At 46.2% G+C, this 24,123-nt stretch overlaps 1 protein-coding gene across 2 annotated transcripts in view; it reads left to right on the plus strand.

Moving 5' to 3' along the window:
* The window catches only part of DOCK2 (dedicator of cytokinesis 2), a 446,108-nt gene that overhangs the window by 403,146 nt on the left and 18,839 nt on the right, over positions 1-24,123 (plus strand). For both annotated transcript variants that reach the window (NR_156756.1, NM_004946.3), the window contains 8 exons: positions 635-725; positions 1,593-1,712; positions 5,396-5,485; positions 7,090-7,194; positions 9,836-9,977; positions 14,885-14,966; positions 16,264-16,348; positions 17,160-17,246. Coding sequence is in view for 1 of the 2 variants with exons in the window: in NM_004946.3 (NP_004937.1) it covers positions 635-725; positions 1,593-1,712; positions 5,396-5,485; positions 7,090-7,194; positions 9,836-9,977; positions 14,885-14,966; positions 16,264-16,348; positions 17,160-17,246 (802 nt within the window). In the remaining variant the exon portion in view is untranslated. The remainder of the gene's footprint in view (positions 1-634; positions 726-1,592; positions 1,713-5,395; positions 5,486-7,089; positions 7,195-9,835; positions 9,978-14,884; positions 14,967-16,263; positions 16,349-17,159; positions 17,247-24,123) is intronic.

Here is a 24,123-nt window from a genome sequence, read left to right on the forward strand (position 1 = left end):
ACTCTTCCTACTGACAGCTCAAGGTCTACATATGAATATCTATTCTCCAGCCCCGATCCACTTCCTTTTATTACCAAAAAATGCACTTACTTACACCCAGAGAACTCTGCAGAGAGGGGTAGGAACTGCCCCTTATAGCTGCTGTGGCTTGTTCATACTCCTTCAATGACACAGTGATTAAGAGCAGGCATCATGTCCTGACTCTTCTGTTTATTAGCACAGAACTCCTGATAAATTGTCTCTCTCTCCTTCCTTTATTTCTCTTGCTTGTCATATTGCATTGGCCAGACCATTCATTATCAAGTTGCATGTTAGCTGGAATGGCACCTAACTTATCCAGGCAATAGTTCTCTCATCTGAAAAGAGGAATTCCTGAGACTCATCTCATAGGGTTGTCATAAATATTAAGTAATCTAAGAAATTTAAAATAGTTAACTTAGTACCTGTCATGCACTAAGTAACCAACACACACTAGGTGCTGTCATTACCCACACAAAGTTCTGGTTATCCAGGGAGGAGGACTTTCTTGCGACCCAGAGAGGTGCCCAGTTGTTCTCTGGGCTCCTGCTTGTCCCTGCCAGGTGTCTCCTTTTCACTGCACCTGGTAGCTTACTGCATATTTTCCCTCAAACAGGTACCTGTACAAACTCCGCGATCTTCACCTGGACTGTGACAATTACACAGAGGCTGCCTACACGCTCCTTCTCCACACCTGGCTTCTCAAGGTACAGTCACTTTGGGTGAAGGGCATTTATGCTGGGATCCTGACAGGGCCTCACAGCAAGTTGAAGAGTGAAAAAAGAAAAAAAAGAAAAAGAATCCAAATATTTTGTTTTGCCCTGTGTCTCCAAACTCTTGAGCTGGCAGGATACTTTTTGCACTGCTTCCCTGGTCACATGTGGTTTTGAGTGATCTTTACATTTAGCAAAAACAACCCCTCTTCGAGATACATTTTGCAGCTTTATATAATATCTAAACTGCTATTAACGGTAAATCATTGGCATGCCCACTGAGCTGCATTCCTTCTGTTGAGAACTTAGCTGTAGCTGGGAAAAAAATCAGAATGATTTCCTTTGGCTTTGGGAGAGCTGGGAGCATGTTTCTTAGGGGTTCAATGTAAATATCTACAAACAACACACAGAGAGCCAATAAAGAGTAAGATAAGTGCAACTCAACAAAAACCAGGAGCCTTCACAAGTGGAAATTGCAGCCCAGCATCTCTCTGACTGACACTGGCACCCAGGACAGGCAGGGGGAAGCTAGCAGAGGGGAGGGTGTTTGCAGGGCTTCATCTGACTCCTGATCACTGTGGTTTTAATATTTCATGTTCCCTCATTTGTCTGTTTTGGGACTTGGGACATTAGTGCTGCCTGGAGGGCAACCTCCAAATATCCTGAGTACTCATGCCTCAAAAGGGCAGCCTCTCCAGTGGTACCCCAAGTTTCCAGAAATAAGCTGAGTTCAAGAAAGGAGGAGAGATGGAAAGGACAGGGTGTGTGTTGGCAGGGTGGTTCCTGCCTTTAATCCTAGGAAGACACCTGCTCTTGGCAGCCTCTCGGCCCTGTGTGACTTCCTGTGTCTTCTCTTCACAGTGGTCGGATGAGCAGTGTGCATCACAGGTCATGCAGACAGGCCAGCAGCACCCCCAGACACACCGGCAGCTGAAGGAGACGCTCTACGAGACCATCATAGGCTACTTTGACAAAGGAAAGGTAATCTGTCCCTGCCCACCCCCCGTGGGGACCCTGGCCACTGGAAGGATGGTTCTCTCCCATACCTTACATCCAATCCATCCTCAGCTCTGTCAGATATCCCTGCAAATCCTAACTCTGATCACTTCTCTCCACTTCCTCTCCATCTCCATTCCTTCCACCTCCATGTAAGGCACCGACATTGCTCACCTGGACACTGCGATGGATCCTAAACAATTTTCCTGCTTCCTCCACTACCCCCAACAGATCATCCTCCATATAGCAGATAGGATGATCATAAAGCATAGATTGGATTATGCCATTCCCCCACTCGCAGTTTCTCAATGGCTCTCCCAATCTACTTAAAACAAATTACACAATCCTTCCCATGGCCCATGAGGCCCCACATGAGCTGTGCCCTGGCTGCCTCTCTCATTTCATCCCTGCTGGGGTCCCTCTTGCTCACGTGCTCTATGCCAAGCTCTTTTCAAACTCAGGGACTGTGTACTTGCTTTTCCCAGCTGGAAGCATTCCTCCACCATAGCTGCCCACTGGAACGCTGGGCTCCACTCAGATGTCACATGCTAGGGAGGCCTTCCCTGACCACCACTAGGCAAACCAGCAGCACCACTGCCCCAGGTTACCCTTATGGCTTCTTCAAAGCACTTGTTCCTATGAGACATCATCTTGTTCATTTTCTTTTTACTTGTTTATTTTCTGGCTCCCCAATTTAGAATGCTATGAGAGCAGAGACTTGTCTTGCCCACTGCTAAATGCCCAGTGACTAGGACAGAACCTAGGAAGTTCCCAGTGAATATGTAGGCCTATGTCCTAGGTTCTGTTCTAATCACTGGGCATTCATAAATGAATGAACTGAATGGATAAATGACATGCAGTGTCATCCTTGATCTTTAAACAGCAAGGATGCTTGGCTGGGTTTGGTCAGGAGATTGGCCAGACCAGCTGCTGCTCAGCTCCAGCCTCTGGTGGACCTTCAGGAAGTACCAGCCCCAAAACTGCCATGCACCCTATAGAGAACATTGCTCGGTGGCCACATGCTCAAGTTTTGGGGCCAGATGGCCCATCTGCAATCCTTGCTCCTCTACCACCTACTCTTCCCTTGACCTAAGAGACTCCAATTCCCCACCCATAACAGTGAGATGCTAATAGTACCTTCTTTCTAGTTGTACCGTGAAAATAGAGTGAGAAAATGCACGTAGAGCACCCTGCATAGGACCTAGTGCATAGTAATAGCTGGTGAAATGTCAGTAACCGTCATCATTATCCTACTCCACCGCTTCCTCTCCCAAGCCTTTCCTGAGTCCTCTGGCTTACCTGCAGCCCTCCCTCTCCTCTGCAATGCAAGACCTCTTACAGTTCATCAGGACATAATTTAGCACTCAATTTGGGCCTGTCCTGTCACTGTAGTTTATTGCATCTGTCTTAGTCGGACCCTTCTACCTTCTCTGGAAAGATAAAATGAGGTAATGTCTGTGGAAGGGCTTATAAATTCCCAAGGCTCAAGCAGTTGGAGAGCACTGTTTTCATAATTTACAATTATAAGCCTCTTGAGGGCAGAGATGCTGCCATCCCTTGAACCTCCTGCCCTGCTGGGTGTCAAGTCAGAGCTTACTATTTGTTTATCAGCTGATTAAGTATGTTGCAGTGTGAGAGCCTAAAAGTACACGTTGAGCTTTGTCCTCAGCAAGATATTCAATTCAGCCCACTCTGTGCTGAGCAGAGAGGAAAAAGGCATGATCCCCAACCTCAAAAAACTTACTGTCTAGTGAGCAAAACAGACATGCCAATAATAATATTTTTTGCATTGCCCTTTGGCATTGTGCAATAATGGGGAAAAAGGCAAAGGAACAGGGTGGTGCCAAAGTACTTTGAGAGCAGAGAGGAGGGAGCAGATGGGTACAGCTTACCCTGAAAGCCACTGCTATGGAAGCTCCTAGAAGGAAGCCCAAACTCCTCAGTGCCCCCTCAGCTTTCGTTCCCTATACCTCCTCAGGGAGGCTCATTGCTCCAGGCACACATGCTGGCTTTCTACTCCATAAGTTCATCTTGCCATCACCCGATAGACTCCTCTAAATTCCTCAAAACCAAACGATTTCATCTATTGATGTATATCCTTTGTCCACTTATGTTCCATGAGAGTAGAGTCTGTGTCTCGTCCATCTTTATATCTGTTTCATTACTGCACACCACACCATGCCCAGAACCCACCGTGTGCTTAGTAATGAATGTGTAAGACTCAGAGAAATTAGTGACTGTTGGAGGTCCCAGTGGCCACACAGGCAGACCTGAGAGGAAATCCCAGGCACCTGACTTCCTGCCCCGCCCTTTCCCTGGTCTCTTAGTGATCTCTTAACCCATGGGGAGAGCGTTTCTTTTCCCTGTTCACATTATGGTGAGAAGTAGACAAAGACCTATACTTGAGCCCAACAGTCCCCTGGCCCAGCCCAGGGGGATTACCCCAAACTTCAGGTTCAAGGTGAAGAGAAAACCCCAGCCTGGCCCATATACTTGATTCCTCTTCCCAGCACATAAAGCATTTTTATGCTGCTTGCTGAGCTGTCCGTGGGTTTACAGCCGTGGCTTCTCCACTCGGCACTTGGTTTTATTTATTTTTATGCTTGGATGCAGAGAGAGCACTTTTGCTACACAGCTCACACTGCATTTTGGCAACCTCCCCTCTCTCCTCCTCCTACCTCCCCCAGCTTCTCCATTTAGGTGCATTTTCCATTTTAAACTGAAGGTGAAATGTAATGGCTATCCCTAGAGATTGCCAGCCTCCGGTCCACCCTGCATCTCCCCTGACTCTGCAGACCGTCCTGACCTCCTTCGGTCTAAGAGAGTGAGGTGATCTATTGACTCTCGTCTAAGACAGAGGAGAGAAGAATTATCCACTATGTCTAGGGTTTCTTTGTTTAGAATTTTTTCTCTTAAGATGGAGAAGACCTACTATTAAAAAAAAAGTCTTAATTTTTTTTTAATATTCTAGCACCACCCCTTCCACCTCTATGCTACCTGACTCTACTTCCACACATCAAATAATCCCATTAAAAAGTGACAGGATTGGCAGAGTAGAAGAATCCCAGGACTGCATATCAGGAGAACTGGGGCCTGGTCCCAACTTTGTCCCTGGAAACTCTGACCTTGAGCCACCTTGCTCACTTCTCTGTGAACCATTTATCTTTGGAAAAGGGGGCCAACACCTCCCTGAGGAGGCTGAGGGAATCAAAGGTTTCCTTCACTAAACACGAGCACGTGGGAGGCAGGGACTGAAGAGCAAGGCCCTGGAGACACACACGGGGGCTTGCATCCTGACCCTGCTTTTAGTGAGGCGTTTTGACCCGGGACAGGTTGCTGGGCCTCTCTGAACCTCTGTTTCTGACCCGGACAATGAAGATGCTGTCAGTTACCTCTCAGAGTGGTTGTGAAGAATCAGAGCACGTAAATAAAGGGTTTAGCCTCATCTGTGCCTACTCAATTGTTTATCAAGAAACTCCGGTGAGAGGCCAGAGGAAGGTCGTCCTCTCTAGGAAGCCCCCGGCCCCTCTGTATGGGGGTGGATCTGGGTCAGAGCAAGGTTTCCCCTCAGTCCCAGGAAGCACAGCTACGCCTGAGTCCCTTCCTCAGCAAGCGCTCTGCAAACCCGGTGGTGCCACCTCACCTTTGTCCCTGTGACCTTCCTGTAGATGTGGGAAGAGGCCATAAGTCTGTGCAAGGAGCTGGCGGAACAGTACGAGATGGAGATCTTTGACTATGAGCTGCTCAGCCAGAACCTGGTAAGGCATCCCCTGGGAAGGCTGAATGCCCTGCAGGCTGGGTGCTCAGGGCCTCAGCTCACCCCAGATCCTGGGGAGATGGGCATGAGGGCCAGGCGGGGTTAGGGAAATAGAAAATGAACGGAAGTAGGACCTGAGAGAGGCTGTACTGAGCATCTCCCTTCCCGTGGGGAGTATTTTCAAAGAGAGATGTCGTGGGGAAATGCTTCGGTGACAGCTCCTCAAAGGGAGCATTGAGTACCTGCGAGGGGCTGCAACTGCCACCGCTGCTGCAGCCCCAATAAACGCTGTGTTACATTTGCAGTAAAAGTTCCACAAATCACTAAACCAATTAAATAAAAACACAAATTTGTGCTTTCTGATTAACAGATAAATCACATTAAAATGCTCCCCATCTGGTTACTCCCATTAGCATCTCCATGCTCAGGATTTGGTGGGGGAAGTGGAGAGTGGGGGAAGCCAGCCCAGCCAATCCTGCTTGTACTGCAGAAGCCTGGGTTTGGCGGGGAGTTGGACTCTGCAGGGAAATGCAGAACTCTTTGGCTGCTTCCCTCCCGCCCATCCTCCCCACATGTTTTCTGGCTGCCTGAGCAGCAGGACCCCAGGGACCCCTCTTAGCCCACTTAGAGAGGCCAGGCCAGCGACTTACAGAGTCAGAATGTTAGGAGAGGATTGATAGCTTTTGGTGGGGGGAAGGTATAGTGATCTTGTTAAAAACAGCTGAGCTGTTAACTGTTTTCACTGTTTGTAAGATAATACACAAATACACACACATGTGCTTGCACCAAGAGACACCTAATACCTGCCCCGCGTGTACCTCCACATAGATGTTTGCCAATGCCTATGCCCAAGACACACACACATACACACACACACACACACACAGGATACATTCAAGCACACACTAATGTATGTGCACTTGCCTGCACAGAGTCCACATCACACAGGCCCCCGTCTAGATCCACATATATCTTCCAGATTGTATCAAATGGAAGATGCCATCGATCATACACCATTCTTTTTATTGTGCCATGTCATGATTCCTTCAGGGCCAACTGCAGTTATAAGATGCCATTAGGTGTAAAGTAAGATTCAGACTGTTTCCAGAGATGTTAAAATACGAAAAACACACACCTCTTAGAATAGATGAAATGTCTTAGGTATACATGCACAGGAAAACATCTGTATCAGGGGGCATTTATTCATTCCATAGCCTCACAAATCCATGCCCAAGTGTGCATGGAGGTGGGAGCAGAGATGCAATGATGGGAACCCTGAATGCAACTAACTGGGTTCAGCTCCATGCTTACTGGCTGCTTTACGAGATACCATTTCTTTATCTGCAAAATGGAGATACTCATGGGATTATTACAAGGGTGATTCAAGTAACCACACTAGTGCAGGTAGAGTGATTAACACAGTCCCTGGTATACTGTAAATATAGCTATTACTATTGTGATTATAGACATAGCACAGATATGTAAATATGTGCACATGGCTCATTGGCTCTGGTATAATGAAAATGTCTTCACCAAGGCCTCTTTGAGTTGAATGTGCCTTTGATACACATCTGTGTTGCAACAAACCTTGTTTTCTTCCTTTAGATCCAGCAGGCAAAATTCTATGAAAGCATCATGAAAATCCTCAGGCCCAAACCAGACTACTTTGCTGTTGGATACTACGGCCAGGGATTCCCCTCCTTCCTGCGGGTGAGTTTGGGGGTGACTTGGACACCAGGCGAGAGCCCCAGGGCCTCGGCATCTCAGCGGTCCTTCTATGCTTTGAGGATTTGCTTGTGCTCAGAAGCGGTGCTCTTCTCTGTCTGAGTGCTGCCCCCATCCCCAGGAGACTCCCCAGTCAATAGCCCTCATCATAATCACCAGCATTTCTCATCTACTGTGTTTCTCTAACTACACAGCAATTACAGCTGCCTCGTGAGGTAGTGAGTTCCCCGTCACTGGAATGAGGTGTTCAAAGAGAGGCTGGAGGATGTTTGCTGGCAGAGATTTGCTTTCAGGAGTTACTGTAGAGCAGTCGTTCTCAGGCTTTTTGGTTCCAGAACCTTCTTTCTCTCTTAAAAATTATTGAGGATCCCAAAGAACTTGTGTGTATAAAGATAATCTCTATCTACATTTACTACATGAGAAATTAAAACTAAGAAAATGTTTTTTGAAGTGTTCATTTATTTGAAAATAACAATAATGGTCCAGGCATGGTGGCTGATGCCTGTAATCCCAGCACTTTGGGAGGCTGAGGTGGGCAGATTACTTGAGCTCAGGAGTTCGAGACCAGCCTGGGTAACACGGTGAAACCCTGCCTCTACAAAAAATACAAAAATTAGCTGGGCGTGGTGATGCGCACCTATAATCCCAGCTATTTGGGGCCTGAGACAGGAGGATTACCTGAACCCAGGAGGTTGAGGCTACAGTGAGTCATGATGGGGCCACTGCACTCCATCCAGCCTGGGTAACAAAGAGAGACCCTGTCTCAAAAAATAAATAAAATCTTAAAAATAAAAATAGCACTAATAAACCCATTACATGTTAACATAAACTGCAATTTTAGGAAAAATAGCTCTATTTTCCAATAAAAAATCAGTGAAAATCATGAGATTGCTTCACATTTCTGCAAATCTCTTTAATGTCTGACTTAAGAGAAGACATCTAGATTCTCATGTCTGCTTCTGCAATCTGTTGCGATCACACATCACGCAGCCTCAGAAAGCTCCATCGTACACTCATGGGAGAATGAGAATGAAAAGGATAAATAACAGCTTTCATGTTATTGTGAAAACAGTGTGATCTTGTGGTTCCTGAGAGGGTCTTGGGAACCTCAAGTGTCCCTGGAGCACAGTTTCTGAACCACTACTGTAGTGGCCTATTTACCCATCACGTGACGAATTGGATTAGGTCACCAGTAGGCTTCCTTCAGTCTGTGAGCCTATGGTTCAACTCTGGGGTGAGGGAAATACAAAAGAAATGGCTAATCTGATCTCCAACCTCACTTGATTTAGTCTAGTCAAGGAGATAAATCACTCACAATTATTAATCAACAATCAATGTGGAAGTGAGAGTGGGCCTGCAGGAGTGATTGCCATGAGCCGCAGAGAGGGGTGCAGGTTTCATGGAGGAAGTAGAGGTGGCTTCCCAAACCTGGCTGTACGTCAGAATCCCCTGGAGAACTTGTTAAAAGTGCAGACTCCTAGGCCCCACTCCCACAGATCCACAGATTCCATTTCTTGCTCTGTCGCCCAGGCTGGAGTGCAGTGGCTTGATCTCGGCTCACTGCAACCTCTGCCTCCTGGGTTCAAGCTATTATCCTGCCTCATCCTCCCAAGTACCTGGGACTACAGGCATGTGCCACCACGCCCAGCTAATTTTTGTATTTTTAGTAGAGACGGTGTTTCACCATGTTGGCCAGGATGGTCTCCATCTCTTGACCTCATGATCCGCCTGCCTCGGCCTCCCAAAGTGCTGGGATTACAGGCGTGAGCCACCAGGCCCAGCTGGGAATCTGAATTTTTAAAAGTGTCCTAGGCTCCTTGGATGATCAGCCAGGTTTGGAAGCACTGATATGTAGAGATGTATGACAGATGTGTGTTTGGACAGAGGAAATTAGGGGCCATTTTAGGCAGTATGGGTGGCACAGATGTCTAGAGCAGAGTTTCTCAACCTCAGCACTATTGATATTTTGGGCCTGAAAATTCTTCATTGTGGGGCTGTGCTATGCATCGTAGGATGCTAGCAGCATCCCTAACCACTACCCCGTAGGTTCTAGTAGCATCCCCCATTCCCAGTTGTGACAACCAAAAAACGTTTCCAGATACTGCCGATGTCCCTTGGGGGACAACATCACCTTTAGTTGAGAACCACTGATCTATAAAAGACTAACATGGTCAGGAAGGATAAAGAGTGTGTTTTCACAGGCTTAGAGCCAGAAGCCAGGTGATGAGGATATGAATGCTGAACCATTCCAGCCCACAGGTCCAGCCCACATGGCCCATTACAGGCAACGGGGAAATGTTGTGGCCATGTATATAGGAGAGTGGGTGTGACACAGTGAAACCTGAGTGAGTAATTATTCTGGAAGCTGTACATAGGATGGTAAGAAGAAGAAAGTTCTCAGCATCCATGATCTTCCCTTCCTCTAGACCCAGACCCTTTAAAGTAGTGATGGCCTCTGCTAGGTCAGTGAGTTGAGCCCTTCCTTTCCCTGTGGGGAAACCAAGAGGAGAGTGATGCACTGGACATCCCCATGGACCGTGGTCATTTTACAAGCTCCCCAGCTTTGCTTGGCCCCTTTCTTCACACCTGGGTCCCCAAATCTCTAATGAGCATCCTTTCTCTGCAGAACAAAGTGTTCATCTACCGCGGGAAGGAATATGAGCGAAGAGAAGATTTCCAGATGCAGCTGATGACCCAGTTCCCCAATGCAGAGAAGATGAACACCACCTCTGCCCCGGGAGATGATGTGAAGAATGCCCCAGGCCAGTGTATCCTTGGAGAATGCCCTAGCCAAGGGGCCAGACCTGAGCAGCCCTGCCAGGGCTGCAGCCCACAAAGACCCACCTTAGAGCTCAGGGCTGCTGCCAGAATCATTGCAGTGGCGCCATGTTGCAGGAACATGCAACATGTTCTTTGGATCCATGTTCTTTGGATCCTTTTCTGGACTCTTCATGATCCTGGCATCTTGAGCTCTGTTTGCTTTGGAAAATTTGTCTCCCTTTGGTGCTTTTCAAAAAGTGCATGAATGTGAGCTAGAATGTCAACTGTATAAGGAAAGACGCTTGCTCTGGCGTGCTCCAACTTGCTCCCTGCAGTAAGTTCCCATCTCCCACGGTGCCTGGTACAGAGTGACTCCCAGTAAATATTTGAGATGAGATCCAAAGAACCTATCTCAATACATTGTAAATGTTGCATGCATTGATTAATTCACTCACTCACTAATTCATTCTTATATTGAATACTCTCAAGCCCTGACTCTATGCTAAGCAAGGTGCAAGGGACTGGAGATTTTCATTCACAAAGTGGTCCTACGTTCAGGGAGCTTACAGTGTAGCAAGTAAAAGAGGCGTTAAGTGACTAATTGCACTATTCCATATTTATTTACAAAAATATAATCTGTGCCTTGAGGAAGCCATGCAGAGTACTGTGGTTGGGAAAGGAGAGAAGGTTTCCTTGAGGAAGGTGATGTTTGAGATTACTAGCAACCAAAGCTTAGCAGGAAGTGGGGAGAATATCCCAGACAGAAGGAAGAACACTTGTGTGCAGAGGCCTTTGGCAGGAAGGAGCATAGCAGGCTCCACAAACTGAAATGACGCCATATTGCCATCATAATAAAATCAAAACTGCTAAGCAAGGCCTGCAAGGCCATCCATGATCTGACCCCTGCCTGCCTGTCCAACGTCAGCCCCACCCCCATCCTTCCTTCCCTTTCTCACATCCCTCTGACCACAGGGTTCTTGTTTCTGTTCCTGTGATATGCCCAGCTTGTTCCTGCCTCTGAGCATTCATGTTCTCTGTTCCCTCTGCTTTGGATGCCCTTCCTCAGCTCCTTACATGACTAGCTGTCTCTTACCCATCAGATCCTAGCTTGGCGTCACCTTCTGGAAGAGGCCTGCCATGGCCTTTCTATTGTCTAATGTGGCCTTCTCTGAACTCTTCATGACCCTGGTATCTCAAGCTCCGTTTTCTTTGGAAAATCTGTCTCAATTTGCCATTATCTCTGGTGCTTTTTAAACGTGCATGGAGGTGAGCTAGAATGTCGGCTCCACGAGGGAAGATGCTTGCCCTGGCTTGCTCCCTGCAGTTAAGTCCCCCACTCCCTCGTGCCTGGTACAAAGTGACTCCCAGTAAATATTTGTTGATTAATAGAAATAAAAAGAAAACAACACAGAAAGAGGAAAGAAGAAAAGAGATAAATAAATAGAGAAAGGGAGGAAGGAGGCAGAGAAGTAGCCAGCTCACTTGGAGTACATAGTACACAGAAGTCACATGGGGTGATATTAGGGTGCCGTATAAGTGGGTGTCAGTGTGGCCAAGCATGGTCTTTAGTGGGCCAGCAGCCAGTGCTGGGCAACAGACAGGATTCGCATGGCAGGGAGCATATAAATGCAAGGATAGGGCCAACTGCTGAGCCAGGGAGCACATTAACTCAGCCTAACTCCCAGCATTGCACCGTTTAGCACAAATTAAGTTACAGCCTTTAAAATGGGGTTGACAGGTCGCAAGTCTGGTCTGCTCAGTCTGCTGTACTTTAATCCAAATATTCTTCTCTCCGGTGGTAAATATTCATCTGTAACCTTTTCATTATGCTTGCCTGCCCTGCGTACCTGCTCTACCATGGTTATTTGCAGGATCAAATGCAACTGGTGGTGGGCTGGGCTGGTTACAAATATGAATTTGGTTATAGGCGAGACATAGGATTAGTTCTAAGGCTTTTCTAAGTGGATCTCCTGGGATTGAACAGCTCTGTGGCCTTTTAACATGAGGCAAGGGAGAGAGTACGTGTTCCTGGGACACAACATCTCCCCTGGTTCAGTGCCAGGAGGCAGGTGCAAAAGAAAAGGGGAAGGGCTAATATTTGCTAAATGTCCTTTTCTTGAGACTGAGGGCTTTATATCCTATAAAACCCTCTAAGGGGAGTGTTAATTTTCCCTATTTCATGGACAAGAAATATGTGGGGCAGAGATGTAAAGTGGTTTGCCTAAGGTTACAAAGCTAGTTAGTGATGGAACTGGTACTTGAACCCCATGATCTGTCTGTTTCAAAAACTATGTTCTAGTACATCATCCTTTTTAAAAAGATTGATGAACAGCATTCTCTTTATTAACTGTTTACCATGTACTAGGCATTTTACACGCATTGTTGTTTTACCCTCCAATACTTATACAAGTTAGGTATTATTGCTTTCCTGCATTTTGCTAATAGGAAAACTGAGGCTCACAGAATTTAAGCAGCTTGCACAAGGTCACAACTAGGAAGTGATGGAGCTTGGATTTGAACTCAGGCCTACTTTTTGACAAAACATTGAGTTCTTAATGCTCTCTTCTCTTGCCTTCACTTGTTAAAAAGCTGATAAGCAGTCTGAGAGGGTGACAGATCTCATTTCTCACTTAGGTATCCAAGTAGGAAATGATAATTGAAAGCCAAAGTCTCTTTGTAGGGAGTCTGCAGTTGCCCAGCCCTCTGGGGCCCCAGTTCCGCGCATACATTCAGCCTGTGGCATAACAACCTCACCAGCCATCCTCCTGGTACAACTTCAGGGGACTTGTGTCACGGGCTTCCCTAGGACAGATTTGGATTCTCCTCTTGGGCCAACACCAGTGGCTAAGATCAGTAAACATGACCTAGAACCTTCTCTAAAACAGGGGTCTGCAAACTTTCTGGAAGGGATCAGATGGGCAGTATTTGAGTCTTTGTGGCCCATGCAGTCTCTGTCACAACTACTCAGCTCCGCTGTTGTAGTGGGAGAGCAGCCACTGAAAACCCAAAAATGCGCGGGTATTGCTGTGTTCCAATAAAACTCTATGGACACTAACATTTGAACTTTCTATCATTTTCACGTTACAAAATACTCTTTTTCCCTCCATTGAAAACTCTTCTTAGCCTCTGGGCCTTACAAAAACAGGCAGTGAACCAGATTTGACCGCAGGGCCATAGTTTGCCAACCCCTGCCCTAGACTTAATCCAGAGTGATTTTCTTCCCAGAGCAGGCTGTTGGCCACATGGCTTGAGAAAGAAAATGGTTTTCCTGAAAATCATAGAAATACCTTCACTGAGATTTATTCATTCGTGTTAAACATTGCCATCTCTTAAGAAGAGAAATCTATTTAAGGCAGAAACAGGCATCAGAAGTAAATCAATGAAACACCTAACTTCTTAGCATAGAGTAAGTTCATCAGACAGAGGCAATTCAATTTAATTTGGAACTAGGTTTTGGTCATTTCTTATGTGTGAAAGAACCATAGTCTCTGCCATGAAAAAGCTCACAATCTGGGCAGGATGGAGGGTGTGAGGTGGGCTGGGGGGATGAGGAAGCCTACAAGGAGCTGGAGGGTGGATCCTAAGAGAAGCAAAGACGAAGGCTGTGGAAAGCCAAAGGAAGGAAAACAACTCCTAACTGGGGGGTGAATTGTTTTCATGGACTGTGGTATTTGACATCTGTCCAAAGGGTTCACAAGAGAGGGATGCTGATAAGGGAAAATGTTCCAAGGAAAGGAAGTAGTAGGATCCATTGGATATCCAGATAATGATGAAAAAATGGGTGAAGGCCATACTGGCCTAGCTTTGAATGCTAGCCAGAGGAGTTCTTGATTCCTTAGTTGGCAGACATGTCAGGCCCAGGAAAAGATTTTTTGGAGTCATGGTGGTCATTGGGTAGAATAGAGGGAGGAAAGACCTTGAATACCTAAATAAAAGACGTGGGTAAAGAAGAAATGGGAGGTAGGGAAAGGGAAGAGGGGTCAGGAGTGGGACCAGTGACCGCTGACTTTTTTCATTCAGTTTGCCATATTGTCAGCTTAAAAGGACTAAAGACAGACCTAGAAGAGGCATGACAAGGGTCTGACCCACATAGTGCTTTTCCAATATCTGTGCCTGTTGCAGGCATCACTAATCCACCATGGGACTCTTTTCCACTGTCTGAACACAGCTCCTTACCATCCTGCCATAGGCAGTTGCTTTCAAATTTTCAGAGTTGGGGTGCAAAATGACATTTATTTGCATATTCTATAGCAGTGCTTCACAAATTTTAGCATGCATATGTTTCACCCAAGGATCTTTTACAGATCCGGACTCAGTTGGTTCTCAGATAGTCCAGAGTCTCCACTTCTAACAAACTTACGGGTAATGCTGACACTACTGGTCAAAGGGCCGCCTTTGAGTAGTGAGTCCAGAGTGAAAGAATTCTGAGCTTAGAGTTAGAAGACCTAAATACAAACTCGGATCTGTTCTTACAAGTTGTGTGACCTTCAACAAGTGGCCTGGCTTCTCTGGCCTCGAAGGGGACAATTTAGGTTAATAAGGCAACTCAGTGGAATTGAGGAGATCAAATGAGATCATGGGAAGATGTACTCTGCAATTGATTTGAGAGCTATAAATTCATTCAATAGTATTATTATTAATGATAATATAGCAATGATGATGATTAAACACCACTAGACAACTCTGTTTGTAGGGGCTGAGCCCTGGCATAAGGTTGCAGGGTGACAGCACTGATAAGGACCTCAGTGACTAACTAGTCATTAGTGCCTAGTGGGCAGCCAGCAACCTGAGGTTCATCATTCAGTAAAAATGTGGCCCCATAAAGGCTGGCCTGGAAGGTCTCAGCAAGGACCAGCTATACTTAAAACTGTCCCCGCAGCCAACAGATATAAGTCCTTAACTACAGGGATTCCAGATATCCAGTGCTTCACTGTCCAGCCTGTCTTGGATGAACATCCCAGGTTCAAGAATAAGCCAGTGCCTGACCAGATTATAAAGTAAGACTCGTTGTCCACAGGGAAGAAGGATGGGGAAGAGAACCCATTGGGGCCACCAAACTGAGCTGGTGGCAGAACAGACCCCAGTGTCTTTCTAGTTCCTTCTCTATCTTAGCCAGTTTTTCCCCCCTTTTCCTCTTGGGCAAAGAATCACCCTCCAATTAGCTGGGCTCTGCCCCTGACAAGGCTGAAGCCAGGAAGGATGGGAGAGCCAGGGTTATGGCTCAGCAAATCCTCAGCAAGCATCGAGCATTTGCTCAACTGGATGCAGTCAGCCTATTTGTTGCTCAGGTTGATCTCAGAGTGGCCCCAGGGAGTCCACAGACAGAGTGTGGCTGGGCAAGTGATAGGCAGGGTGGAGACAGGGGGCCTTGTCCATGCTGAGCACATGCTCCCAGAGGGACATCTCCTCAGCATTTGTGAAGGTTGTACATTGACAATGGTGTGTTCAGGCTCTGATAAAGGAACAGTAGAGGAAGTGCCGTGAAGGCTGATGTCCACCTGTTCTAGATCAGATTGCAAAGTCACTGATGAGGCCACAAGGTGGGGCCTCTGTGGGACCCAAGGCTGTATGCCTCCCAGCTGCCCAGCTCATTCCCCCTACCCCATGCCCAGGTTGTAATGGAGCACTTGAGTGTCTTAGAGTAGGTCCTCCCCTCTGGATGGGACAGTCAGAAACAGGATCTGCTTTGCAAGATGAAGGACCCTTCAGGGAGAGGCAGCCCCTCCCAGCAGCCTCACGAAGTGCCACAGCAGAGCAGGTGGAGCTCAGCTTGGGTCTTAACCTCCCCTCACCTTCTCACCTTCTCAGACAGGCACCCATGAGCAGGGGACAATAACTGTGCAGCTAGCACGGTGTTCTGCTGGCCCTGAAGTTAGAATCTCACCAACGATTCAGGGAGACTGATTTAGGGGGTTGGCTGGGACACCTAAAGAAATCCTTTGAGGACACCTCTGGGAAATTAGGCTCAGACCTCAGCTCCTTTGTTGCAGATCACAGGAAATCATGACCTAGGCCATCAATGTTAGAATTCCAATTGCCTGGATACTCTAGGGGTACTATGTTCTCAAAGGGGCACAAGACCAGTCTACCTTCTAAATTGCCTTGTCAGGAAAGCCTGTGCAAAAGTCACTCTTACGGAGCCCAGAACACAGACCTTGATTTTAAATGCACCACAAGGGACTCTGCCAGGCCTGAAGTTTACTGTAATGAACCTCCCTGGACAGTGCAGGGTCAGATCGGGTGTCAGCAGCCGGGGATGGCTACCAGGAGCCTCAGCCTCTTCCTGTCTTTCAGCTTCTACAAATCCAACTACGTGCAAAGGTTCCACTACTCCCGGCCCGTGCGCAGGGGGACCGTAGACCCAGAGAATGAGTTTGCTGTGAGTATCTTCCCTACCCTTGATCATTCCCTGGAGCCACCTGGAGGAACCAGAGCATGCATCGGCCAGCCTCAGAATGGGAAGGAACTTGATAGAAAGCCAGAGAAAATAAAGCCAACCTCCATGGATACCATGACGTCCGTTCCCCAATCTCTTCCATTAGGGCCTGTGTCCTTATTTCTTGAGCCTTTTTCCCCTTAATACAGAACCCAGGCCTCATGTCAGAGGCACTTTTTCAACCACAGGGCATTCAGGCATTGCCAGCACGTAGAAACCCTCAGGCTAAGAAGGGGTGTTGATAAAATCAAACCTTCCAGCAAACACCAGTAAGAAGCCACAGCAATGTAGTCATCACTGTCCCCTGAGTGCTAGTCTCCTCTGTGTGTGTCCAGCTAGGATTCAAACAAGACTGGATTAAGGAGGTGTCTCCAAGTCTCAGCTCTTTGGCCTGGACAGTAATTCTTAATATTTTTGGAGCCACTGCCTCTTTGAGAGTCTAATGAACACTGGGAACCCTTCCCCGAGAAAACAAATGGACACATTCAATATTGCCTAAAAATTCAGACTGCTAATAAACCCAGGTTAGTACTTACTTGGCCTAAGTCCAGGGAGAGCTTACACTTAATGTTGGGAAAGAATTCTTAAGGGTAAGGTGAGAGCGTGTTTCTGGGTCTTGCAATATTTATTCTGCTTTCGGGTAGATGGGAGGCCCGGGGACCTGGCTGGGTTTCTGCCAAGCTTCTCCGATACCCAGGTTTCATAAATGTGTTTGTTGCTTTCCTGCCCTTGCCACCCCTCTGCCCACGGACAGTCCATGTGGATTGAGAGAACCTCCTTCGTGACTGCATACAAGCTGCCGGGGATCCTGCGCTGGTTTGAGGTGGTGCACATGTCGCAGGTGAGTCTGGGACATTCGTGGCAGGGCCACCCTTCCTCCGATGGGCAGGGCACAGCCAGTCTCCAAAGGCCCCTTTGACTTTAAAAAGGAGACATGTTTTTCTTTGAAGCTGCTGTGTGAGTCCCAGAATTCCCATGCAGGCAGCATTCAGAATAGTGCCTTTCAGATTTTTTTTTTTTTTAAGCATCAGATAACCTTTTTGTTCCCTGCAAATGAAACTTTCCATGGCCTCCAGTAATAAAGCTGATGAATGGGGAGCTTCTGTTGGGTGGGTGGGGTGTAGCAGAGGGCCTGGAACACAATCATTAATCATTTCCATCTCCCCCTCATACTCCTCTCATCACAGCACCCCCTTGGGGGCACCTGTGCAGTATCCCAATATGAATCCATTTTATAGTTGGAAAAACTGAGGCTCAGAAGGGAGAGATCATTTGGCTAGAATCCAAATGTTTGATCTCCCTTGTGCAGATAACACCTATTTTGCTTCTCAGCACAGCTTAGGGTCTCCACGTCCTCAGACAGCTAAAGATCTTGCAGTCCCCAAGATACAGAGGAATGGTCAGTGTGGTTGTGAGGAAACCTTGTAAATGGACATATTTAGGATGTCTTATTTATTTATTTATTCATTCATTCAGAAAATACTTAATGTGTACCTAACATGTTAGGCACTGTTGTAAGACCTAGAGATTCTGCAATGGAGCTTCCATTCTAGTGGGAAAGACGGACTAAAAAGTCAAAGTAAATATATGACAGGTGATAACTGTGATGGAAAAAATTAAAGCAGAAAGGTGATATATGAGGGATTGCTATTTTAAGTAGGGTAGTCAGAGAATGCTTCCCTCTATACTGGCTGTTGAGGAGAGGCCTGGAGGAAATGAGGAAGGGGTCCATGCTGACATTGAAGAGAGAGACATTCCAGCAGAGGAGACAGCAAGTGAAAAGCCCTGGGCCCAGAGTATGCTTGTGTCCAGATCAGAACAAGTGAGGGTGAGTAACAGTCATCTGATACCAGATCATGTAGGACCTTGTAGACCACCATAAGGACTTTGACTTTCCCACTGAGTGACACAGAGCCATGAGCAGAGGAGGGACGTGGTCTGACTTGCGTTTTCAAGCTATTGTATCAGACGATAGCATTGAGACCGTTTCACTTCTACCCTTAATGCCCCTCTCTTTTCAGCGAACCCAGCAGCTCAGTAGCCCTTCAGCCTCCTTTTTATAGGCATGACCTAGACCTTGGAAAAGTATAACAATGATGGTGATAGCAAAAAACATTGTTTTGAGTATGGGCTCAACTGTTCATATGCATGATCTCATTTCAACCCCTCAGCAACCCTGTGAGGTAGATATTATTATTCTTCCCATTTTACAGATGTGGGAACTGAGATGCAGAGTTAATTAGTGCATTGTTCAAGGTTAGTAAAAGAGATAGGGTATGACTTTAACCTCCCCTGTCAGGCACCTGGCTTGGACTCTTTATCTTTTTTTCCTTAAGAAAAAGAAGAGCCCACCCCAGCCCACCCCAGCAAGTAGTACCCCCAAAAGGAAGGAAGTGTCTGTGCCCTTGCTTCATGGCACATAAGTTTCAACAAGTGCCCCAGGTGCTGTGTCAAAGGTTTATAGCTATATCTCATTTAATTCTCATAGACCCCAGTGAGGTACATACTATTATGAGCCCTATTTAGGAGGTAAGGAATCAGAAACTTTCTGTCAATCTGTAGCCTCTGCCCATTAGCCCTGACTGAGCCCTGTCACCTGGTGGTGCTCAGCAAGGCGCCTCTTCTGTAGTCATTCCTGCCAAACTGTAGCAAACTGAGAGAGCCCATCCCTGTACTTCCCATTCCCTCAGCTACTGTGTGTCAGCCCAAAGCACTTATCTCCTAATAGCCTACATAATTTTCTTGTTTATTTTTAATATTAAGAGAATATTAAATATAACAGTAGACCATAAGCTCCACTAGAATATAAATTCCAAGAAGACAGATATTTTGTCTATTTTATTTTCTGCCATACCTCCAAGTGCTAAGAATAGTCCCTGGCCCACAACTGATGCTAACTAAAGAATACTTACATAAATTAATCAGTCAATCAATATGCAGACACCCGTAATGTCTAAACCGGTTACCTTATTTTATAAACTCAGCGTTTTGAAGTTGGGAAAGAAATAGTCAAGATTTTTGGCTTGTTTCTTTCATCCCGATGGCTTCTCATAGATGGCATTGGGGAAACCTTCAAAAAGTTGGCCAGAGTGAATTTATCTTTAATGGCCTCTCTCAGATGAGTTACCAGGAATTTCAGGGTGTCTCAGATGCAAAAGTTGAATGCTCTTCTAAGTGACTTCATTTCCAAAGATTGTTTTTGTGTTATATGAATTTGTATCTTGTTCTTGGTTATTTCCTCCATAAATTATCATGACTACAGTAATGTTTATATAGACAGGCATTTTCTGATGAGCTTCAAGTATAAGTTCTGCCTATTGGGGTTTTATTTTGTTCTTGTTCTTGGCCCTGAGAAATGGAGACTTTACAAGGAGCCCTGATCTAGGGGTCAGAGATCCAAATTCAACGTGGTCACTAATGAGCTATGTATGTTAGATAAGGACTGTATATCTCTGGGTCTTAGTTTTAATCATCTGTAAATAGGAATTGCAAAATGATGGAACTTTAGGGAGCTTAAAGGGACCTTAGGTGTCTTTTAGTCCTAAAGCTATAAACTGGAATACCTTCATAGCCTAGTAAGGGCTGTGGCAAAGTGCAGTAGCAACAGCCCCCTCCTCCATCTCTGTTGAATTACATTTTTAAAGGCTAGAATCAATGTGCTAGCTAAGTGACAGACCTCCGCCAGCCTGGTTTGGCTTGCAGTTCTCCAAGTTTTTTGTCCTGATTCTTCCTGGTTCTTGTCTACCTGCATTATTTTGTATATGAGAAAACTGAGGCCTAGCAATGGGACTTGAACTGCCAAAGCAATTTGTGGCAGAACTCAGAGGTCATGAGAGAGCACCTGTCCTGTGCAGCTCATAGGATTCCTGGGTAGACTTAAGAAGGCAATATTGGTAAAATGGCTTTGAAAAATATGAAATGCTGGGGTGGGCGTGGTGGCTCATGCCTGTAATCCCAACACTTTGGGAGGCTGGGGTGGGCGGATCACAAGGTTAGGAGTTCAAGACCAGCCTGACCAACATGGTGAAACCCCGTCTCTACTAAAAATACAAAAATTAGCTGGGCATGGTGGCATGCACCTGTAATCCCAGCTACTCAGAAGGCTGAGGCAGGAGAATCACTTGAACCCGGGAGGCGGAGGTTGCAGTGAGCCGATATCATGCCATTGCACTCCAGCCCGGGCAACAGAGCAAGACTCCATCTAAAAAAAAATTAAAAAAAGAAAAATATGAAATGCCACCTAATTGCCAGGGATTGAGATCACTTTCTCTTTCATCTTATGTTCCCTCACCCATCCACACACACTTTTACATTTTTTTCCAAAGCACCCTCCCCTGATAATTCATTTTCTCTTCACAGCAAGCCTGGCAAGAGTTACTATGTCGATAAAGAAACTGAGGCTCAGCTTAGGGAAAAGACCAGAGATTTGAGGGCTAGATTAAGTCCCAACAGCCCGTTGATAGCAAGTGTGGTATCAAAGCTTGATTTACGTGTAGTAGAAGAAGCCTGCCTTTGGAATCACAAATACCCGAGTTGTCTTTCCAGCTCTGCCCCGTGGCTCAGGGATAAGTGACTTAACATATTGCTGGGGGAATGAAATGAGCATGGGTGTAATGTGGCCAGCATGGGCTGGCACATAGGAGGCAATTGATAAGTGAGGTCATCTTCATTATCATGATCATTACTTTTATTCCTGTTATTAGCTAAACCGTGGGTTTAACTTCTGAAATCTAGGCCTTTCACCAACTATACAACCCCTGTAATGACCTGAAAGTTACATATTTGGTTTATACAAATGCCCGTAGGCGAGAAGCCAAAATTATTTTCATTCTCTTTCTCTGTTCCTAATGGCTATAATGAGGCTAACACTTTGGGAATCTAAAAATAGTTTCAAAAGCAAGGAGGAAAGCCAATCAACTGCTCTTTCCATTTTTAATGACTTGTCTTAAAGCCTGAGTCTTTCAGATATGGCAGTCTATTGTTCAAATGCAGGTGTGTTGCTGGGCTCAATCTGAGCGGTGGTGATAGATTTTCAGTACAACTCAGTCTACACCTTGGCCCCTCAGAGCCCCCCCAGAGTTGGTCTGTGTACTTGACAGATACTAGACCGTGGGTTTCACCTTGGAGGACTATGGCTGCAGCCAAGCTGGACATTGTTCTCCTTCAGTTAACATTATGTGTGTGCATGCATGTGCAGTTGTAGGGTGTGTGGGTGTGCCCAGGGTGTGCATGTGTGGATGCATGTATATGTGTATCTATGTGTGTATGTATATGAGTGTGTGTGTGTGTGTGTGTGTGTGTGTGAGAGAGAGAGAGAGAGAGACAGAGAGAGTGAGTCAGTCAATTCCCAGGGCCTTCTCACTGTAGAGATCAGTCATCTTCAGAAACATCCAGACTCAGGGTAAGGGAGTAAGGAGGCTATAATTTCACAGAAATGGTTTTAAAAGATGACCAAGAAGACAATTAGCAACATAGCAGACTAGGAAGCTCCTGGGTCTCCCTCCACCCCCAAATGCACCAGATAAATATCTACTCATGGATCAATTCCCTCTGAGAGAAACTCAGAGATGAAGTGAGGGACTTCTACCTACCAGGCACTGAGTAAACATCCACATTGAACCGATATGAAAAGCTGAGGCACACTCAGGCATGCACCCTGCTCTGACACTGTGCTATAAAATCAGGAAAGAAATTCCCAGTACTCATCTTCTCTCCCTGTGGAGAGGAGGGCTTGGACCTCACATATACTACCCTAATTCTAAGGTTCCCCAGGAGGGCTTGGACCTCACATATACCATTCTAATTCTGAGGTTCTTCATGGGTTGGCTCTTAACTTATCAACTCTGAGACTGCGCAGAGTTAGACATATGCAAGTCTCTTTAGACCACAGGAAAAAATCAGTGGTTTTATATGGGTGCACATGAACTTTCAGGCATCCTATCCCCTGAGAGGAGTGTAGTAAAGGGTCTTTTAAAAATGGAATCCCCTGCTTCTCCCCAGAAGGCATTTATGGCACACTCTTCCAGTGGCTACTTGGCAGCCTGGCTTCTACATAACTTCCACTGAGGAGTTAAGGGGCAAACAAATATTAACCCACTGGCAGCCTGAGAAGCAGGCTGTCACTTCTCAAACCTTGCCTCCTGGCTCACCCTAGCAATAACTACAGGTTTATTAATCTCTCCTGGAAGGAGTCTGTGCACACATTGAGTTTCCCAACTTTTACAGCTTCCACCCAAGGGCTATATTCTAAACACCTTAGCTCTGGGAGCAGAGGGGACTGGCATATGCATGTCGCCAAAGACCACAGGAAAAAAAAGCAGCAGTTTTATACAGGCATGAAAGCACTTCCAGGGCTTCATTCCCTGAGAGTTGGTGCAGAGAAAGGGCTTAAAAAATTGCAACCCCCTATTCCTCCCTAGATGAGGTTTATGCTATGCATTGAATGTCCCAACTTTTAGATCTATTTCTAAAAGGACTCCATCTAAACCTCTTAGCTCTGGGAACAGAAGGGAGCAGGCATATGCAATTCTCCCCAGATCACAGAACAGAGAGATGGTTTTAAATGGGTGCACAAACACTTCCAGGGGTTACATCCCCTTGGAGCAGTGCAGAAAGTGGGCAGAAATTAACAGCTCCCATTTTCTTTCTGGAAGGGGCACACACTTCCAGTGGCTACTTGATGGCCTGGCAGCTAACAAACTTGCATCAGGAAGCTAATAGGGCAAACAAACAATAGCTCTCCAGCAGCCAGAGCCAGAGGTTGGCACTTCACTAGCCTTTCCTCTGTCTCAACCTAGTGATAAATCCAGGTCTATCCATTCTTCCTGCAAGGAGTTTGGCCACATACCAAGTGCCACACTAGAGCTCCCACCCAAGGGACTGTCCTCTTAAGGATATAGCTCTGGGAGTCAATGGGACTTTGTCTTCCTGAGTGGCCCTAGACCACAGCAAAAAGAGGTGGATATACAATGGGTCCAATTTCAACAACTATATCCCCAGAAGCAGAGGGTGCGGCCTGAACCTGAGTCTAGGCACTTGCCACAGATTCTCTCCCCAGCTTAGGGCAGAGAGAGTGAGAGGTAATCGCCCATGCTCAGCTTCACCATGAAGATGGAAAAAACTGGAACACACATTTAATACCCCCACCTTTCCAGCTACATCTAGAGAGTCTAGCCCCTGCCTTATCTGTCACTGGGTACTGACAGGAAGTGGCACATCCTAAACTATAGGGGTCTACAAAAAACAGAGACAGCAGTCTGGACAAACAGAGAGATTTGAGAGGAACCCTAACATTTCACACTGGATGGCTTGGTCAGATCCTTCTTCTACACAAGGCCAGTCTGACAAGACTGGGAGAGAGAGCTGTCTTATCTAATGCAGAGAAACCAACACAGACACTGAAGGAAAATGAAGAAACAGGGTAATATATTCCAAGTAAAGGAGCAAGATAAATCTCCAGAAACCGAAATGTGTGGAGTCAAGACATGTGATTTACTCAGCAGGGAATCCAAATAATGCTCATGAAGATGCTCACCAAGGACAGGAGAGCAATGCAAGAACAAACCGAGAATTCTAACAAAGAGAAAGCATAAAGTGTACCAAACAGAAATCATAGAGCTTAGGAATATTATAACTGAACTGAAAAATGCCATAGAAGGGTTCAATAGCTGACTAGATCAAGCAGAAGAAAGGATGAGCAAACTCGAAGACAAATCACT

Source organism: Homo sapiens, chromosome 5, assembly GCF_000001405.40.
Source record: "Homo sapiens chromosome 5, GRCh38.p14 Primary Assembly".
NCBI classification, from domain to species: domain Eukaryota; kingdom Metazoa; phylum Chordata; class Mammalia; order Primates; family Hominidae; genus Homo; species Homo sapiens.